Source organism: Homo sapiens, chromosome 5 (assembly GCF_000001405.40).
Source record: "Homo sapiens chromosome 5, GRCh38.p14 Primary Assembly".
NCBI classification, from domain to species: domain Eukaryota; kingdom Metazoa; phylum Chordata; class Mammalia; order Primates; family Hominidae; genus Homo; species Homo sapiens.
Window position 1 is genome coordinate 168,908,750 of NC_000005.10, and position 16,359 is coordinate 168,925,108.

The 16,359-nt window shown below is 42.0% G+C and overlaps 1 protein-coding gene and 1 long non-coding RNA gene across 4 annotated transcripts in view; one reads left to right on the top strand and one right to left on the bottom strand.

Moving 5' to 3' along the window:
- The window catches only part of SLIT3 (slit guidance ligand 3), a 639,400-nt gene that overhangs the window by 247,010 nt on the left and 376,031 nt on the right, over nucleotides 1-16,359 (bottom strand). The gene's annotated exons all lie outside the window — the stretch shown is intronic.
- LOC107986472 (uncharacterized) lies at nucleotides 6,993-9,911 on the top strand. The gene is made up of 3 exons (XR_001742973.2): nucleotides 6,993-7,057; nucleotides 8,081-8,120; nucleotides 9,840-9,911. It is a non-coding gene; the product is annotated as an uncharacterized LOC107986472 (long non-coding RNA).

Consider the following 16,359-nt stretch of genomic DNA (forward strand, 5'->3'; position numbering starts at 1 on the left):
GTAGGCTAGACAATAAGGTTCACTGCAACCTTTATTACCCTATACCATCTATTACAAACGATGGAGGTGTTCAACTACTATTTCAACTAAAAATGCTTCCCATGGTAAGACCTGAGGAGGAATGGCAGATGTTTCTCACAGAGAGGTGCACACCTTACAAGTCCATCATAAGAGGGTCCTGAAAAATGCTCATAATGCCTACCTATCCCCTACTTGGATGTGTGACCTCCCTTACAGCTGTGAAAGGTGACATGAAAACCACCAGGTACCCGCCAGGCTTCTTGCATTTTCTCCAAATAGAACAACTCAAAGGCTTGTCTATGCAGACCCATGTCATTCCCACAGGCCTGCGTCCTCCGGTCACACATCTATCATGCCTGCATGCGTATGTGAATAAACAGCAGCTAGGACAGCAAGGGCTACCCCCGAGCTGCTCTCACACATAGTACTGATATTTTGGGCATAGTCCTACTTTTTATGGATTCCTCCTTTGCTTACAGCATGTGTTGGAAACTGGTGTTTAATTTGGCTTGCAAATTCTTTAAAAAAAAATCAGAGTCAACATTTTATAATCAGGAAATTCACACAAACATCTATCTGGATTTTTGGTTTCCTTTGCAAACTCCAGATATCCATCAATTTAGGTCCTCTCCCCCATGGCGCAAAGCTTAGTGGCAGCCGCCCTCTGTAGAAGGTACAGGCAATTCTTATTTCCAGTTTAGCATCGCCCACAGGAGTCCCTGTTGCCTCCTAACACTAAGGCCCCTGTGTCCACTGCCATTTATCATTGAGCTTGCGTTGTTATTTTTCTTATCGTAGAGAAATAATTTTATTATGCCTGCCCACTTCACTCAATGACTTTACTTGAAGACATTTGAGTGGTAATCCCTGGCCTGGAGTTTTGAGAATAGAGCCTGAAGATTTATTTAGGCATTATAAGAAGAAAGAGACACAAAGAACAAAACGATGCCTCCTGCTTTCCTCTCCGCTAGTCTCCAAACTCAGCTCCTCCTGGCAGCAAACCTGGGTTTCTGGTCTGGGTTTGAGCACGTTTTAAGGGATTGAAGTTCACCGTCCTTTGAGCCAAGATCTCCGGACTTATCTCTTTAGACTTGGCTCTACTTTTCAGGTTCAAGTCTGAGCCACATCACATTTTAGAGAAACCTTTCTGTCTCCCAAAAGAAGCCCACCTTCCTTTTTGCACAACCTGCTTTAAACCCATTCACTAAATTTGTTACAAATCTGCATTTCTCTTCTTGTGAAACATGCACAGAGAGGTATGTGATTCCAAAGCTGAAAGCAGCACATCATCAAATGATTGTGGGCAGGACCAAACCATCTGGGCTGAAAACAAGCTTCTTAAAAGAATTGTCTTCTCCCCTTGATGATGGGTCACTTTAGAGTATTTACTTCTCTGGCTGATTCAGGCTAGCTATGTAGTGAAGTCTGTGTGTTTACACGATATGGAAACTGAAGGCTCAATGTAACTTTCTCTTTCTGTTGTCATAGAGCAATCATCTTTAAGACTCAAGTGTCTAAATGAACAATTTCTACTATATTAGCTCACTCCAGACATTTAAAGAAATATTTTCATCCATAAACACATACATACAAATTTACATAATCACTTACATGCATCTGTATATTTACACACTCGCACACACACACATATTTGGCCATATATCAATGATGGATTAAACCATCACAATTGCCGCCGGGCGTGGTGGCTCACGCCTGTAATCTCAGCACTTTGGGAGGCCGAGGCGGGTGGATCACAAGGTCAGGAGATGGAGACCATCCTGGCGAACACGGTGAAACCCTGTCTCTACTAAAAATTACAAAAAAAATTAGCCGCGTGTGGTGGCAGGCGCCTGTAGTCCCAGCTACTCCAGAGGCTGAGGCAGGAGAATGGCGTGAACCTGGGAGGCGGAGCTTGCAGTGAGCCGAGATGGCACCACTGCACTCCAGCCTGGGCGACAGAGTGAGACTCTGTCTCAAAAAAAAAAAAAAGAAAAAAGAAGAAAAAAACATCACAATTGCAAAGTGAGATGGTAATAACAAACATATCTGTATGCTTGATCAGAATGCCTTCTGCAAAGAGAACCTCTTTTAAAACACAGTTTATGCTTTGTGTCCTTCAGAAGGGCAACTAGAGCCCCCATCCCATGAGATTGGCATGGAAATCACAGCCCTCATGCCTTTTTGTAAAGAAAACACTCATGAAAATATTAGACCTTAGAAATGGGGAGAGCAGCCCGCTGTTCTGTACCAGGTACGAAACCAAAAGCAGAAAAGCTACGTTTAAAATCAAGCAGCCTCTTGATGGGTTTGACGAATGCCAGCCTCCTCTCTCTGCCTGTAACTCTCCTCTCTCTGCCCCTTACCCTCAACATCCCAAGACAAATACTGCACGTTAATTAAATACAAAATGATTATTTAAAAACACTTGTGAAGGAATAATTATTGTGCATATAATAGATATATGTATGTTAAACTCCCGTGCACACATTTTGAATGATTTATGGGGTCCTGGAGCTGCCGGTAGCTATCCTATTAGCGTTCACCCCACCCCACCCGACCTTTCTGCATGGTCTCTAAATGCTGGTGTGACTACCACACACAAGAGAACAACTGCATTGTGGATTTAAAGGTACTTTCTATGACTTTTCATTGGCTCCCAGTGAATAAGCTTTTAATGAAGAATCTCTGATTAAAAACAGGGTTTCACAGTATCTAAATTAAATGCATAGCTTAGGAAGTTATTTCTTGAAACCGGCTCGCCACATACAAGTCATGTCAGCATAATGAAAATACATACATGCATTCTGGCAGCATGAAATGCCATCATTTAGCCATCCTTCAGTTACCCTTCTAAATAATTCCAGTCCAAGATTTTGGAATAAGGAAGGTTTACGATTAGATGGCATATAAGATGTCGGGATCATAGCGGGAAAGCCAGCAGTTTAGAGCATAGCAAATTCAGGTTCAAGTCTGAGTCTCATCATGTGTGGTTTTAGAGAAACCTTTCCCTCATGTGTTGTAGCTCTCTCTTGCCTCAATTATCTTAGAGAGTCTTAGAAAGGATTTGATAGAATAATGTTTTAAAACTGCATGAAACCTACACTGCATGAGTAAAATGTTGCCTGTGCTGAACTCCCGTTTATTTTTTGCATTGACTTTCACTTACACAACAATCCACTGCCATGTATGAAGTATACTTGACCTCTGAACACCACGAGCTTGAACTGCACTGGTCCACTCATATGTGGATTCTCTTCCACCACTGCCACCCCAAGACAGCAAATCTAACCTCCTCTTCTTCCTCCTGCTCAGCCTACTCAACATGAAGATGAGGACGGAGGTTTTTATGATGACCCACTTCCATTTAACCAACGGTAAATTTATTTTTTCTTATGATTTTCTTAATAACATTTTTCCCCTAGCTTACTTTATTGTAAAAATACAGTATTTTAACATATTTTATACAGTGTATTATACATACAACAAACAAAATATGTGTTAATTGACTGTTTATGTTATTGGTAAGAGCCTACTGTTAACTGGATGCCTTAATAGTTAAGTTTTGGGATAGTCAAAAGTTATATGTGGATTTTCTACTGTGCAGGAGGGAGGTTGGTGTCCCTAACCCCTATTTCGGTCAAGGGTCAAATGTATATAGCATGCACCAGTTTTTTCACCTTCTCCCAACTTACCAGAAAAGAAAACCAAGGATCCAGGAGGTCAGGGAAGCTTCATGTCACAGAGCCAGAAAGCAGTAGAGTCAAGAATTGGAACTAGACTATGTGACTCAGGGCTCTGCCATTAGCTGCCTCTATTCTTACTGTTTCCTCCCCTACATACTTACATAGAGCCAGCAAAGTTTGGGTGTATATTACAAACATACTGAACACTGATCATGCATTATACACTTGAATCTTTACTATGTCTCTATGATGTATTTTATGCATTTTATGAAGAAACTAGGGTTTGCCCATGGTCCCTCCACAAGTGGCCAGGCTGGGCTATAAACCCATCTCCTCCCCACATCACCATCCTCAAACTTTCTGCACGGCTCCCTTACTTTGTCCTTCTCTCTCCCACTGCTCTGGTCCTGTTCATCCTTCTCCCACACTGCTCTCCCTCCCCTTTGTGCCATCCAGCCTGGATTCACTTGTTACAGCTCATTCGGCTTAGGTATTCCACCCTGTCTGGCTGGTTTCCTGATAGATTTTCTTTTGTATTCTGAGGCACTGAAAGTCTAGAAGTCCCCATCAGCCTTGAATTCCAGACCCCTGCTACTGATGAGTTATTTTTGGCCTTTTCTCCAAAACTTGACTGCAAGCTCCTTACCACTTGCCTGTACTGCCCATCGCACCTGGCTAAGTGCTCAGAACTTACTAGGTTGGTGCAAAACTAATTGCAGTTTTTGCCATTACTTCCAATGGCAAAGGGTTAGGGTCAGGGTTAGGGTTTGCCATTATTTCTAATGGCAAAAACTGCAATTAGTTTTGCACCAATCAATACATACGGAGTTCAACAGATGCGCCTAGTAAGGCAACTGGCTGCCATTGGTTTGAGAAGCATTACTAACGCCCTCATATTAAGTGACCACAACACCAGATTAAAAAGAAAGGTACCATTAGCTTTTCCGTAACCCAGCTGATTTATTCAAACACTCAAACTTGTTGATAAATTTAATATTAAAGAATATATGCCCATGATTTAAAAAATAATCTGGCTGGGCATAGTGGCTCATGCCTGTAGTACCAGCACTTTGGGAGGCCGAGGCAGGTGGATCACGTAAGGTCAGGAGTTCGAGACCAGCCTGGCCAACGTGGTAAAACCCTGTCTCTACAGTGGCAGGCGCCTGTAATCCCATCTACTCGGGAGGCTGAGGCAGGAGATCGCTTGAACCTGGGAGGCAGAGGTTGCAGTGAGCCCAGATGGCACCATTGTACTCCAGCCTGGGCAACAAGAGTAAAACTCCGTCTCAAAAAAAAAAACAAACAAACAAAAACAAACAAACAAAAAATAGACGTAAAATGAAAAGTAAAACCCATATCTTTCTCCCCCACTCTGACCTCTGGTCTCTTCCTCTAAAGAGGTTAATATTTTCTTATATATCTTTCTTAAAAATGTTTATGCATATACTGGTATATATACGTATTATTTAAAATAAGCACAATTAAAAAATATACACACTGTTCTACATTTTCCTTTTCTCACCTAACTGTGTATCTTACAGTATCAGCACATGTAACTCTACCTAACTCTTTTAAATGGCCACATACTCTTTCTTCATATAGATGTGCCATAAGTTATTAACTGGTACCCAGTTGAAGGTTGCTTCCGGTTTTCTATGAGAACAGTGAACTTCAAGGTACACATGTCTTGGAATATTTTGTGAATATAGTTTTAGAAAAGTTCCTAGCAGTGGGACTGCTTGGTCAAAAAGGCTATGTGCACTTAAATTTTTGATAAATATATTGCCCAAGGGGGTCTCCGAATTAATTAGGTTGCACTAATCTTATTTATTTGGAGTAGTTCACATTGACTCTGTAGATCATAGTCCCAGAGGAAGGCCCGGAACTAGAGCTAATGTTGTGGGCAGCCTCTGAATCTGCCCAGGGTTTGGGGAAGATTAAATCATGGTCAGAGAGAGCCACATTGGCAATAGCAATAAGCTTTCTTCTACACACAGAAAATGCAGAGCATATGCTAAATGGGCACTTTCCACTAGCTGCTGCTGCCGTTACCTGGACTTTTCTGGGAACATCTCTTGGTAACTGAGGATGAGACCACTGGTCCTCCTGGGAAGTAGGACATTTGGATTCTATTCCCAACTCTGCCACTCGTTTTGCTATTCCACCATCAGCCAGTCCCTTCTCTTTTCTGTACTATACTTCTGTACTCTTTTCCGTAGCGTACTTCTCTTTTCTGTACTGTGCTTCTCTTTTCTGTACTGTAATTTCCTAATTTATGACATAGGTGATTGGACTTGGGGCTACAAACTCACATACTCACAGGAACATGGCAGACAACCTAATCCTGTGTCTGGGTGGGGAGGGTCGTTCATAAAAGAACACATGCCCCATCTGAGGATGGAGCCCAAACTCCACTGTAGAGGACATTGGGGGGTAAAAATGTAGGCTTACTGTCACTAGCCAGATTTCTTTTTCTTGATTTTTTTAAATGCTAGAAACTAATTCAAACATTTTAAAAATTCTATTTATATTTAGTATATAAAAATCCATGAGTTCATAATAATACTCTAAATGTGAAAGCAGGCAATACGTAATCTGTCAAAAGAGGTAGCTTTTACCAATTCTTTATTCTGAAACTTGATAGTTAAAAGGGGGAGAATTCAGCTTTTATCCGGTCTTTCCCATAGTAACTGTACTTCACGGTAACCACATAGTCTGGGTTTCTGAACTTTGCTTTTCATATGAATTCTGACTAATATATTTAAACGAAGTGTGGAAAAATCATTTTACAACCTCTAATTAAATAACTGATTCAGGCAACAGTCATCAATGAATGCTAAAACCTTGAAGTTAAAGTTTGATTCTTAGGATGCCAAATTATCAGTGACGGGTGATTGCTGCTAGTGAGGGTAGACAAGCGACTTTACAATAGAGCAATTGATCAATCTCGGCATGACAACAGTGAACCAATCGAGAGGTTCCTCGTACGAATTGGTTCGCTGTTGTCAGGCCAAGATTTACCAATCCCTCTATTGTAAAGTTGCTTTTCTATCCCAATACATTAATAGTTGTTATAAAACAGCTTATATATAAGCTATAACTTTAAATATATTTAATGTTTTATTATGCGAACATATCCAAAATATAATTTCAACATATAATCTATTTAAAATTGTTAATGAGATATTATGCATTCTTTTTTTTTTGAATACTGTTTTGGAAATCCACTTTGCATTTTATACTTACAGCATACCTTAATTTGGACTAGCCATATTTTATCTGCTCATCAGCTACATGTGTCCAGAGGCTGCTGTATGGAACCGCATCGTTTTGGACAAAAAGAGGCCTAACAAGTAAATGTCATATGTGAACTGTGTATAGATTGTAGTTTAAACAAACCAATTGTTGGAAAACATTTTTAGGACAACTGAGGGACTTGTAATATGGACTGTATATGGGATGACACTCAGGAATTAATATTCATTTTGTTAGGTATGATAATAGTGTTATGGTTTTCTTTTTCTTATGATACTTTAAGTTCTAGGGTACATGTGCACAACGTGCAGGTTTGTTACATAGACATATTTTTACTTTTTGGTGGGGCATACTGAAATATTTAAGAATAAAGTATAACAATGTCTGTAATTTAAAATGGCAAAATCACCACCACCACCACCACACAAATAGCAAAATATTTACAATTGTTAAATCTAAGTGATGGGCATATGTGGAGCCCACATTTGAGTGATCTCTAAGGCTCTTTTTAGATGGAAAATGTTAGAATGCCAGCTGCATATTCTGCCTCTGAATGTCATTGCTGTAGGAAGGGAGACACACACAGAGCAAGCACCACACTCTTAATCCAACAGAGCTTTCTCCTCTCCTCTGGAGGGAAGGCCTGGGAGAACCTGCAGCTGTGGGAGGTGCTTCGCTCTGCAAGACAGAGCTGCTGCTGAGGCATCAGGACCCAGAGAAGACAGGTCCCAGCCAAGTGCAGAGACAAAGGGGCGGGGCCCTGCAGGCGCCAAGCACGTCACTTACTGGACTCAGCCCGGATGCATCCAGCACTGTCCTTCATTAGCACTAATGGAATTTCAAGGTCAATGACCAGTCATAAACATCAGCCCTAAATTAAGTGTATCCCAGGCTCCTTGCCCAGAGGATTATTTCTTTTTTCTTAAAAGCCAAGTTGCTTGGGAGTTAGGAGAGTGGCAAAAATACAGTTAACCTTTCAAGATAAAAACACTATCAATTCCATTGATTTAGATCACAACTTGCTTCCATTTAACTCATCAAAAAGGATTGCCAATTTAAAAAATAATGTATTTCTCAGTCTTAAGGAGATTCTTCTTCTTTTTTTCTCCTTCTTTCTCCAGGCAACTTTTCTTCCAGCTCCACTGGGGAAGCCTTATACAGGTAGATTGACTCGGGGCTGGCTAGATTGCTGACAACACCAAAATGCTGCACACCTCACCCACGGTGCTTTGTTTTATTGATAGCGGCGTCTCTCCCTGTCATTTCTCCCTCTCTCCTTCTGAACAGCTGGGAATTCCTTGTCATACAACATGACTAATATGTTCAGCTTCAGAGGTACAAAGGAGACGGAAATAAATGAAGGGATTGCTAAATAGGAGTTTTTCTATCCCTCTAGTGGGATGATGAGTAACTAGGAATAGACAGCGACCCAACATCATTGCATAATAATCATCAGGTTTAGAATCTGAGAGACTTGAAAAGAATCAGAAATCAATACCCTACCTAAGATCAAGTGGAGGTGAGCTTTGGTTCCCAGACCAGAATCAACAGCAATTCCTAGCCAAGTCCTAGTCTTACTATACCTTGAGACTTACGAGTTGGATTTTAACGGCTCTGAACCCTTCCTGCTCTGCTGTGGTCCTGGGCATTGTGTCTCAGCCCCAGCTTGTGTTCTTGCCTACCTCTGAATCTGTGTGTGGCACTACAGGCATGGAAAGAACTGGTCCCCTGACATAAATCTCAGTCAAATCCCTTGTTTTTTATTGATATTCCATGCTGAGGAATTCCAACCAGTACTCCAAACAAGACACATCTTGATGCAGATAGTAATAACAATTTTTTACAAGACTCTGTATTAAAGAAAGATGGCCACAGCCCTTCCCCCTGCTTCTGGGGTTCCCTGTCAGCCTTCTCTCTAAAACCTGGAGTCTGTTGTAATGTTTCCTATTTCCCATCAAAAAACACAAAGCCAGTATTGCTTTTATGTCCATATTATCTCTAGAAGCATACCCTCCAATCTGGAAGGTTTTGGCACGTTAAAATCTAATTCCTCTTTGGAGAAGCCAAGGAAACCTTCGCAGCAGTATTGTGTGATTCTTTTTTCCCCAGGCTGAAAGGGTTAGCTTTATCAAGCTAATACAATCTTCTCTCCCAGGACAGACCAACTCTGACTTAAAACAATCTGTGAATAAATAGCTCAGCCTTCCCCCAAGTCTCTCTCCCTTCATCTCAGCAGAAGAAAGAGGGAGTATGGATTATCATTTTGATTACAAATATATTTCTATCTAGAGGAAGATCTACAAAGGGCTAAAGTCACCTCTATAAATTTAAACAGTCTTCAGTTAGCCCTGAAGAGTTAAATCCTCTTCTCCCTCTCCCTTTTTTTTTCCCAACATCCTGGTGCTTCAGAGATGTTATATTAGACAGATGTCAAGTTGATATAATAAACAGCAATGCCAAATCTAATGAATTAAGGGAAAAGAGAACCACATGCTGAGATTTTCAGATGAAATCAGGTAATGACAGGGAAGAAAAATGAAGCTGCATTTAAAAACGACTTGAGAGTCCAAAATTCAAGGTGTGGAGAGACTCATAGCAGGAGAAATTTCAACTGCGCACTGCATTCATCTTACATATATATGCATTTCTGCCTGATGTTCTGACTTGCATCAGAACAAAAATAAAATGAAATTTAAAGGGCCCCTGGGGCTAGTAATACTTTGATAAGGGAAGTTGGTATGTCAGTTGTCACTGAGGGCCCCAGCCTGTTTGTCAACGGCTGCACTAAGGTGAGGGTTTGAGAAGACATTTTATAAGAGGTTTGTGAACCCGATTTGTGTTTCTGACAACTTCCTTGCACTTGCCATTTATTATGCTCAGGTGGAAGAATTCAGCTCTTAGTGGTTTGGATCCATAAACGGACATGTGGCTATGGCCTCCCTAAGCATCAATGAGACAGTGCAGCATTTGGGGCTTGGATAAGAGATTGCTCTTCTTAAAGTTCTTCAGGAAAGGAGACATTACAGCTTCAGTGACACATTCAAGGTTATATGTGGATAATAAAATTCTACTTTTTGTCTAGCTCAAAGAACTCTGGATTTAATTTATGTGTTTCACTTCTTCTTAAAAATTTCTGCAGACATACCAACTTCCTTCTTCAAAGTCAAAAAATCCTCACCATATATAACCACTTAGCAATACCTATTTATACATAAAATGTTCATGCCCTTTGCCCCAGACATTCCACTTCTGGAGATTTTATCCTATAGATATACTAGTAGTAATGTGCAAAATACACATAGGATACTTTGGGAGGCTGAGGCGGGTGGATCACGAGGTCAGGAGATTGAGACCATCCTGGCTGACACGGTGAAACCCCATGTCTACTAAAAGTACAAAAAACTAGCCAAGCGTGGTGGCGGGTGCCTGTAGTCCCAGCTACTCGAGAGGCTGAGGCAAGAGAATGGCGTGAACCCGGGAGGCGGAGGTTGCAGTGAGCCGAGATCGCGCCACTGCACTCCAGCCTGGGGGACACAGCGAGACTCCATCTCAAAAAAAAAAAAAAAAGAAACATAGGATATATACAAACAAAATGATGTTTGTTGCAGCATTGTATTAGCAGTACTAGAAACAATTTAAATCTCTATCAATGATTGCCCCATTAATGTTACACTAAATTCTAGTGCACTTAGCTACCAGGACACCATGTAGTTTATAAGAAAAATAATTATGTTTTGAGATGGAGACATAACTATGATATACTGTTAAGCAAAACAGTAAACTTTAAAATGGGGTGTAATCTGATTCCATTTGATTCTGCTGAGAAACTCTCTGGAAAGAGACTTAAGCTTTTAATAATGGCTACCTCTGTATAGGAGAATATGGGGGTGGATGGGAACTGTTGTATTGTAAAATTAGGTAATATGTAATTTTTTTAAAAAAAAAACAAAGAACATTAACTTTATAATTATTATAAAAACTTTAAGAAATGTCCCTTGTCTAACAAAGATAAAGTTACACTTTAGTCTTTTCTTTTTCAGATTAAACTCCAAAAGGCTTTACTTTTTCGATCCTAATAGTAACATTATGTTTTGGATTCTACACATTTGTCATTTCAAGTCACTTTTTCATTGATTAAAAAGTGAGAACACATAAAAAAGGGAACTTCTTTGATGCGAGGTTTTGATGTACACTCAATTTGATATTATTCAATATGCTTTCTTCTATTCTAGTACCTTCCTCTGAGAAGAGTTAATGTCAATATTCAGTAGATATAGTACTAAGTTATTTAGAGGTGTTAAAATCAAGCGAGGTTTTGGGTTTCTACTACGTGGAAGTGAGTGTTTATTTTTTTCTAGAAGGGATCTCTAGCACCTTGCATTGCTGAAACATCAGGCTCTCTGCAACAATGACCTTCTTTTTGGGATATAAAGGCTTTTTGGGTATCTGGTCCTCACTTGGGCAGAATTCTAGAAGAGGACAATAAATAGCTACAAAATGAGGAAGTCAGCCCTGTCTCTGGGTAAGCTATGCACACTTACCTGATTCACCTGGTTTTTATTTTGGGAGTCAAGATTTTTAGCGAGCTGGAGCCTCTAACCCCTTCCGGGCAGCCCCCATGTACAGAGGCCCCTTATCTACAGACTTCACCGGGTGGCTAACTCCCTTCTCCAGGATGCCTCACACGTTAGGAATCACAATAGCCACACACACCTGGGCTAATTTTGCTGAGAGCAGGGGCAACAACTTAACTAGAGGCAGGGAGGATAATCTCAGAATGAATTATTCACCAGCGAGACCATCACGGCGGCACGGAAGGAATACAGATGCCTGCTGTTGGGCTACAGCTCCCCGACTTCCTTATTCAGTTTTAATGCGTCTTTCCAGCCGGTGTGAAGCAAGTGTGTTCGCATTCAGGCAGCTTCTGCCCTGGTTCCAGAACTGCTGCTTCTCTCTGCTTCTGGTTCAGGCTTACTTCTCTTGGCGTGGGTGAACTTCTCTTTTGACTTTTAAGTTCTCTTTTGTACAAGTCAGTCTGTCAGTCTGTCTCTGCTTCTTTCTTTTTCTAGCTTATTTAAACTCCAAGTCTCTCTCTCCCTATTTTTTTTAAAAAACAGGAATCAGAAATACCACCCATTAAGCTTTTCCATGCTGTACTCACTGATAGATTAGGTAAAAGCCATTGCATAAATACCCACCACACATCGCTCATTCCTTCATTTATATCCTACGGGATAACTGCTTGCAGCCTTACTATCATGACACATTGCTCTGCTCCTTGAGCTGTCAAGAGGTTTAGCTTCTTGGTAATCTGGCTCTGGAGTCAGATTGCTGGAGTTTAAGTTGTGGGTCTCGGATTTAAAACCCTGATTTTTCCCCTCAAAATCGGTATTTGGACATCATCTGTCATCTGACATGTGGAAAGGAAAATGATAGAAAACTTCTGTCCAACAGGACACTTCTCCACACATGATCCTGCACAGAAAATAGCTCTCCTTTCCTTGCTCTGTTCTCCCCAGCCTTCTAAAAAAATGCTTATAATCCCACACTCTATGTTCCTGAATACTTTACTTCTCTCACGCTTCCACTCCAAGGCGCATACCCAGGCTCATCCATTCACCTCACGTACAAAATGAAGAGGGCAATTTTCTGTAGTAAAGATATATGGGAGAAGCCAACCTCAAGTTCACATCTGTTAAAGCATTTCTCTGTTGGCAACATTTTTACAAGCCTCTCAAAGCTATATGCTTAATTAAAATAAAAGGGTGATATACATCATTGCACCAAGTCTTTGCTGATATAGAGGAAGGAAGGGGAAAAATGAGCGCATTAGTTCTCTTTTATTAAAAGAGTTATTTCAGCATGACATCTCAACTAAAGACTAGCCATTAGCAAAATTAAAAATTAGGTGATGTTGATTTTGGGAAATGTACACATTTAATGCCTTCCTCTTTCCTCCGGCTGCATCTCCTGTCCCGGCTCCAAGCTGCTTACTTTCCTCCCACCCGCTCAGGGAGCATCCTTGATCTTTGAGTACCCAGAACTGATTATCATAATGATGGAATGACAAGGAGAAGGAGAACACTTTGTTTATAAATGCTATCCTTCTTCAAATTAAATTAGAACAAAAAGGCTAACCTTTACTGAGCACATACTACATGTGAGACACTGGTCTAAGCTCATTTAATTATGAGCTCATTTAATTATGTAAATCACTCTTAGGAAGTATAGGGGAAGAAAAGCAATATTTATGGAACACCTGCCATATCCTAAATGCATTATGGGAATTTTCTATATTAATCCATATACCAACCATGCAAGGTTAATGAAATGAACTCCATTTTACAGATGAGCAAACTGAGGCTCTGAGAAGTAACTGGCCCCATGCTGCAGTGTTAGTAAGTCAAGGAGCAAGGTTTCAAACTGCAAATAATTAATTTCAATTCTGTATAGAACACAAGAAGTGAGGCCAGGTGCGGTGGCTCACACCTGTAATCCCAGCACTTTGGGAGGCTGAGGCAGGTGGATCATGAGGTCAGGAGATCGAGACCATCCTGGCGAACATGGTGAAACCCTGTCTCTCTTAAAAATACAAAAAATTAGCCGGGCATGGTGGCGGGTGCCTGTAGTCCCAGCTACTCGGGAGGCTGAGGCAGGAGAATGGCGTTAACCCAGGAGGCGGAGCTTGCAGTGAGCCGAGATTGTGCCACTGCACTCCAGCTTGGGCAACAGAGCGAGACTCTGTCTCAAAAAAAAAAAAAAAAAAAAGAAGTGGAAGGTGGGAACCATAGCAAGTAAAAATCCGTAGAGGTGGGAACGTGCATGATGCATTTGAGAACAGGCTGACCAAGATTAAGGAGTCTGCAAGGGGAAGAGAGAGAGAAAAAGGGCACAGATCAGAGCTGGTCTTCAACTGCAGATGCTGGAGTGCCAGGGAAAGGGCAAGGAGCTTCAGTTTGGAGGCAATGGGCAACCATCAGAAGTTTTTCCAGCAGGTACACAGGAACAGAGCTTCATGAAGCTTGATCAGGCAGTGATGTATCAACTGATGATAAGGGAGATAAATACACAGGTAAGAGGTCTGGGCCTAAGACAAAGAGGGCTCAGCTAGGGCCAGGTGCTTGTGTTGAATATGAAACTATGAGTGCTGCATGCTAGGTGAACTCTCACTATCCTAAATGCAGGAACTGAAGTGATTTCGACAAACATTTTGGGATTCCCTTAATACCTGAACATATGTAGCGAAAGTCTTAGCATCTGAACTTAGAACTGAGTAGATACGGAAAGTGAGGATACTTTCATTAAGAGGTTGAGTAGCGGAGTTACCAGATCATGTGCTTGACTAGATGGGAGCAGAGGGGACTTGTAGGAAATAAAGAGTCAAGAATCATTCCAGCTCGGAACCTTTAGGACTGGGGCAATGACAGGTGAATCCATACACTGAAGAGAAATGCCTTGATTGAGAATGTTTTGGGGGAAACAGTTTAACAAACCACAGGATGGCAGATAAACAGCAGGGTGAGCAAGCTAAGCCCCAGAACATCCTACGAGCCACAGTTCTGGGCGTCAGTCTTGAAGCTCCCCCTCCCTAATCCTTATATCTGACCAACCACCAAATTCTAGCATTTCTACTCCCAAATATCTGTTCAGTCCACTTCTCACCTCCACTGGCAGCATCCTCCCCCAAGCTACCATCCCTTCAACTGGGCTACTCAAATCCCTCTGCTTCCTGACAATTACCTTCCACCTTAAGTCACAGGGCTCTTCACAAACATAAATATGATTAGGTAACCCCCTTCCTAAATATCTTTTTTTTTTTTTTTTTTGAGATGGAGTCTCACTCTGTTGCCCAGGCTGGAGTGCAGTGGCACAGTCTCGACTCACTGCAACCTCCGCCTCCTGGGTTCAAGCAATTCTCCTGCCTCGGCCTCTCAGTTAGCTGGGATTACAGGCACCTGCCACCATGCCCAGCTAACTTTTTATATTTTTACTACAGACTGGGTTTCACCATGTTGGGCAGGCTGGTCTTGAACTCCTGACCTCGTGATCCACCCAACTTAGCCTCTCAAAGTGCTGGGATTACAGGCATGAGCCATCACGTCCTGCCAATATCTTTTAAAGGCTTCTCAGTGTCCTTAGACTAAGCCAGGCATTGGCAAACTATGGCCTGTGGGCCAAATCCAGCCTGCTGCCTGAAATAAAGGTTACCGGAACACAGCCACGCTCAATCATTTACATGTTGTCTACGGCTGCTTTTGCACCACAACAGCAGAATGGAATAGGGTCACAGAGACTGTCTGGCCTGCAAAGCCTAAAATAATATCTGGTCCTTTACAGAATGGGTTTGCCAACCACTGGACTAGATAGAAGTCTGTACCCGGGTCCACAAGGCCCTGCATGATCTGACCCGTCTGCTTCTCCAGTCTCTCTTCACACCTCTGACCCTTCTGCTCTGTCATTTCAGTCATGGTGGCAGACTTTTGGCCACTCACAGGAGCCATAGACATGGAGCTAAGTGGTCATGTGTCGGCCTGGACTGGACCATGTGTTTCTGGGGCACAGACTTTTGGGATCCAGGGCACTCCTAGCCCCCAGTCTTTGCCTGGCTTCCTCTTCCCATGTCCTGCTTCTCTCCTTCCTGCGGGTTGGGACCCAGTACCCTCCATCTCTCTCACTCCTCCCCTCTCAAACCCTTCTTTTAGGAAAGGAGTCCAAATCGACCACTTACACCTCAGTTCAATGCAAGCCAGTATAATTAATAAGGAACATTTAAGGGTGTGTAAGGGTGTGTGTGTGTGTATGTGTGTGTGTGTGTGTGTGTAGCTCACTCTGCCTCTGCCACCCAGGCTGGAGTGCAGCAGCACAATCACAGTTCACTGCAATCTTGAACTCCCAGGCTCAAGCAATCCTCCCACCTCAAAATCCCAAGTAGCTGGGATTAGAGATACATGCCACCACACCCTACTAATTTTTTTTGTACTTTTTGTAGAGATGGGGTTTTGCCATGTTGCCCAGGCTGGTCTTGAACTTCTGAGCTCAAGCAATCTGCTCGCTTTGGCATCTCAAAGTATTAGGATTACAGGCGTGAGCCACCGCACCCAGCTGCATTTGAGTTTTGAGCCTTGTTTCTAATTGGCAAAGTTGTTTTCTTCAAGAAACCAACGAGCAGGTAAGTGGACTCTGCAGAGCAGAGCGGAGAAAGAAAGAACGCATCCCTGAGATCCCATCATAAGGTAAGCAGTTGCCTCCTCCACTAAGATGAAATCAGCCCTGATTTCAGTTTCAGAGTCAACCAATATTTATCGAGCACCTTCTAAGAGCCAGGAACTGTGCTAGGAGTGTTAGCTTGTTATTTTCTGTTAACCTCCTAAATTCTGTAAACCAGTCTGGGTTTGGCTAC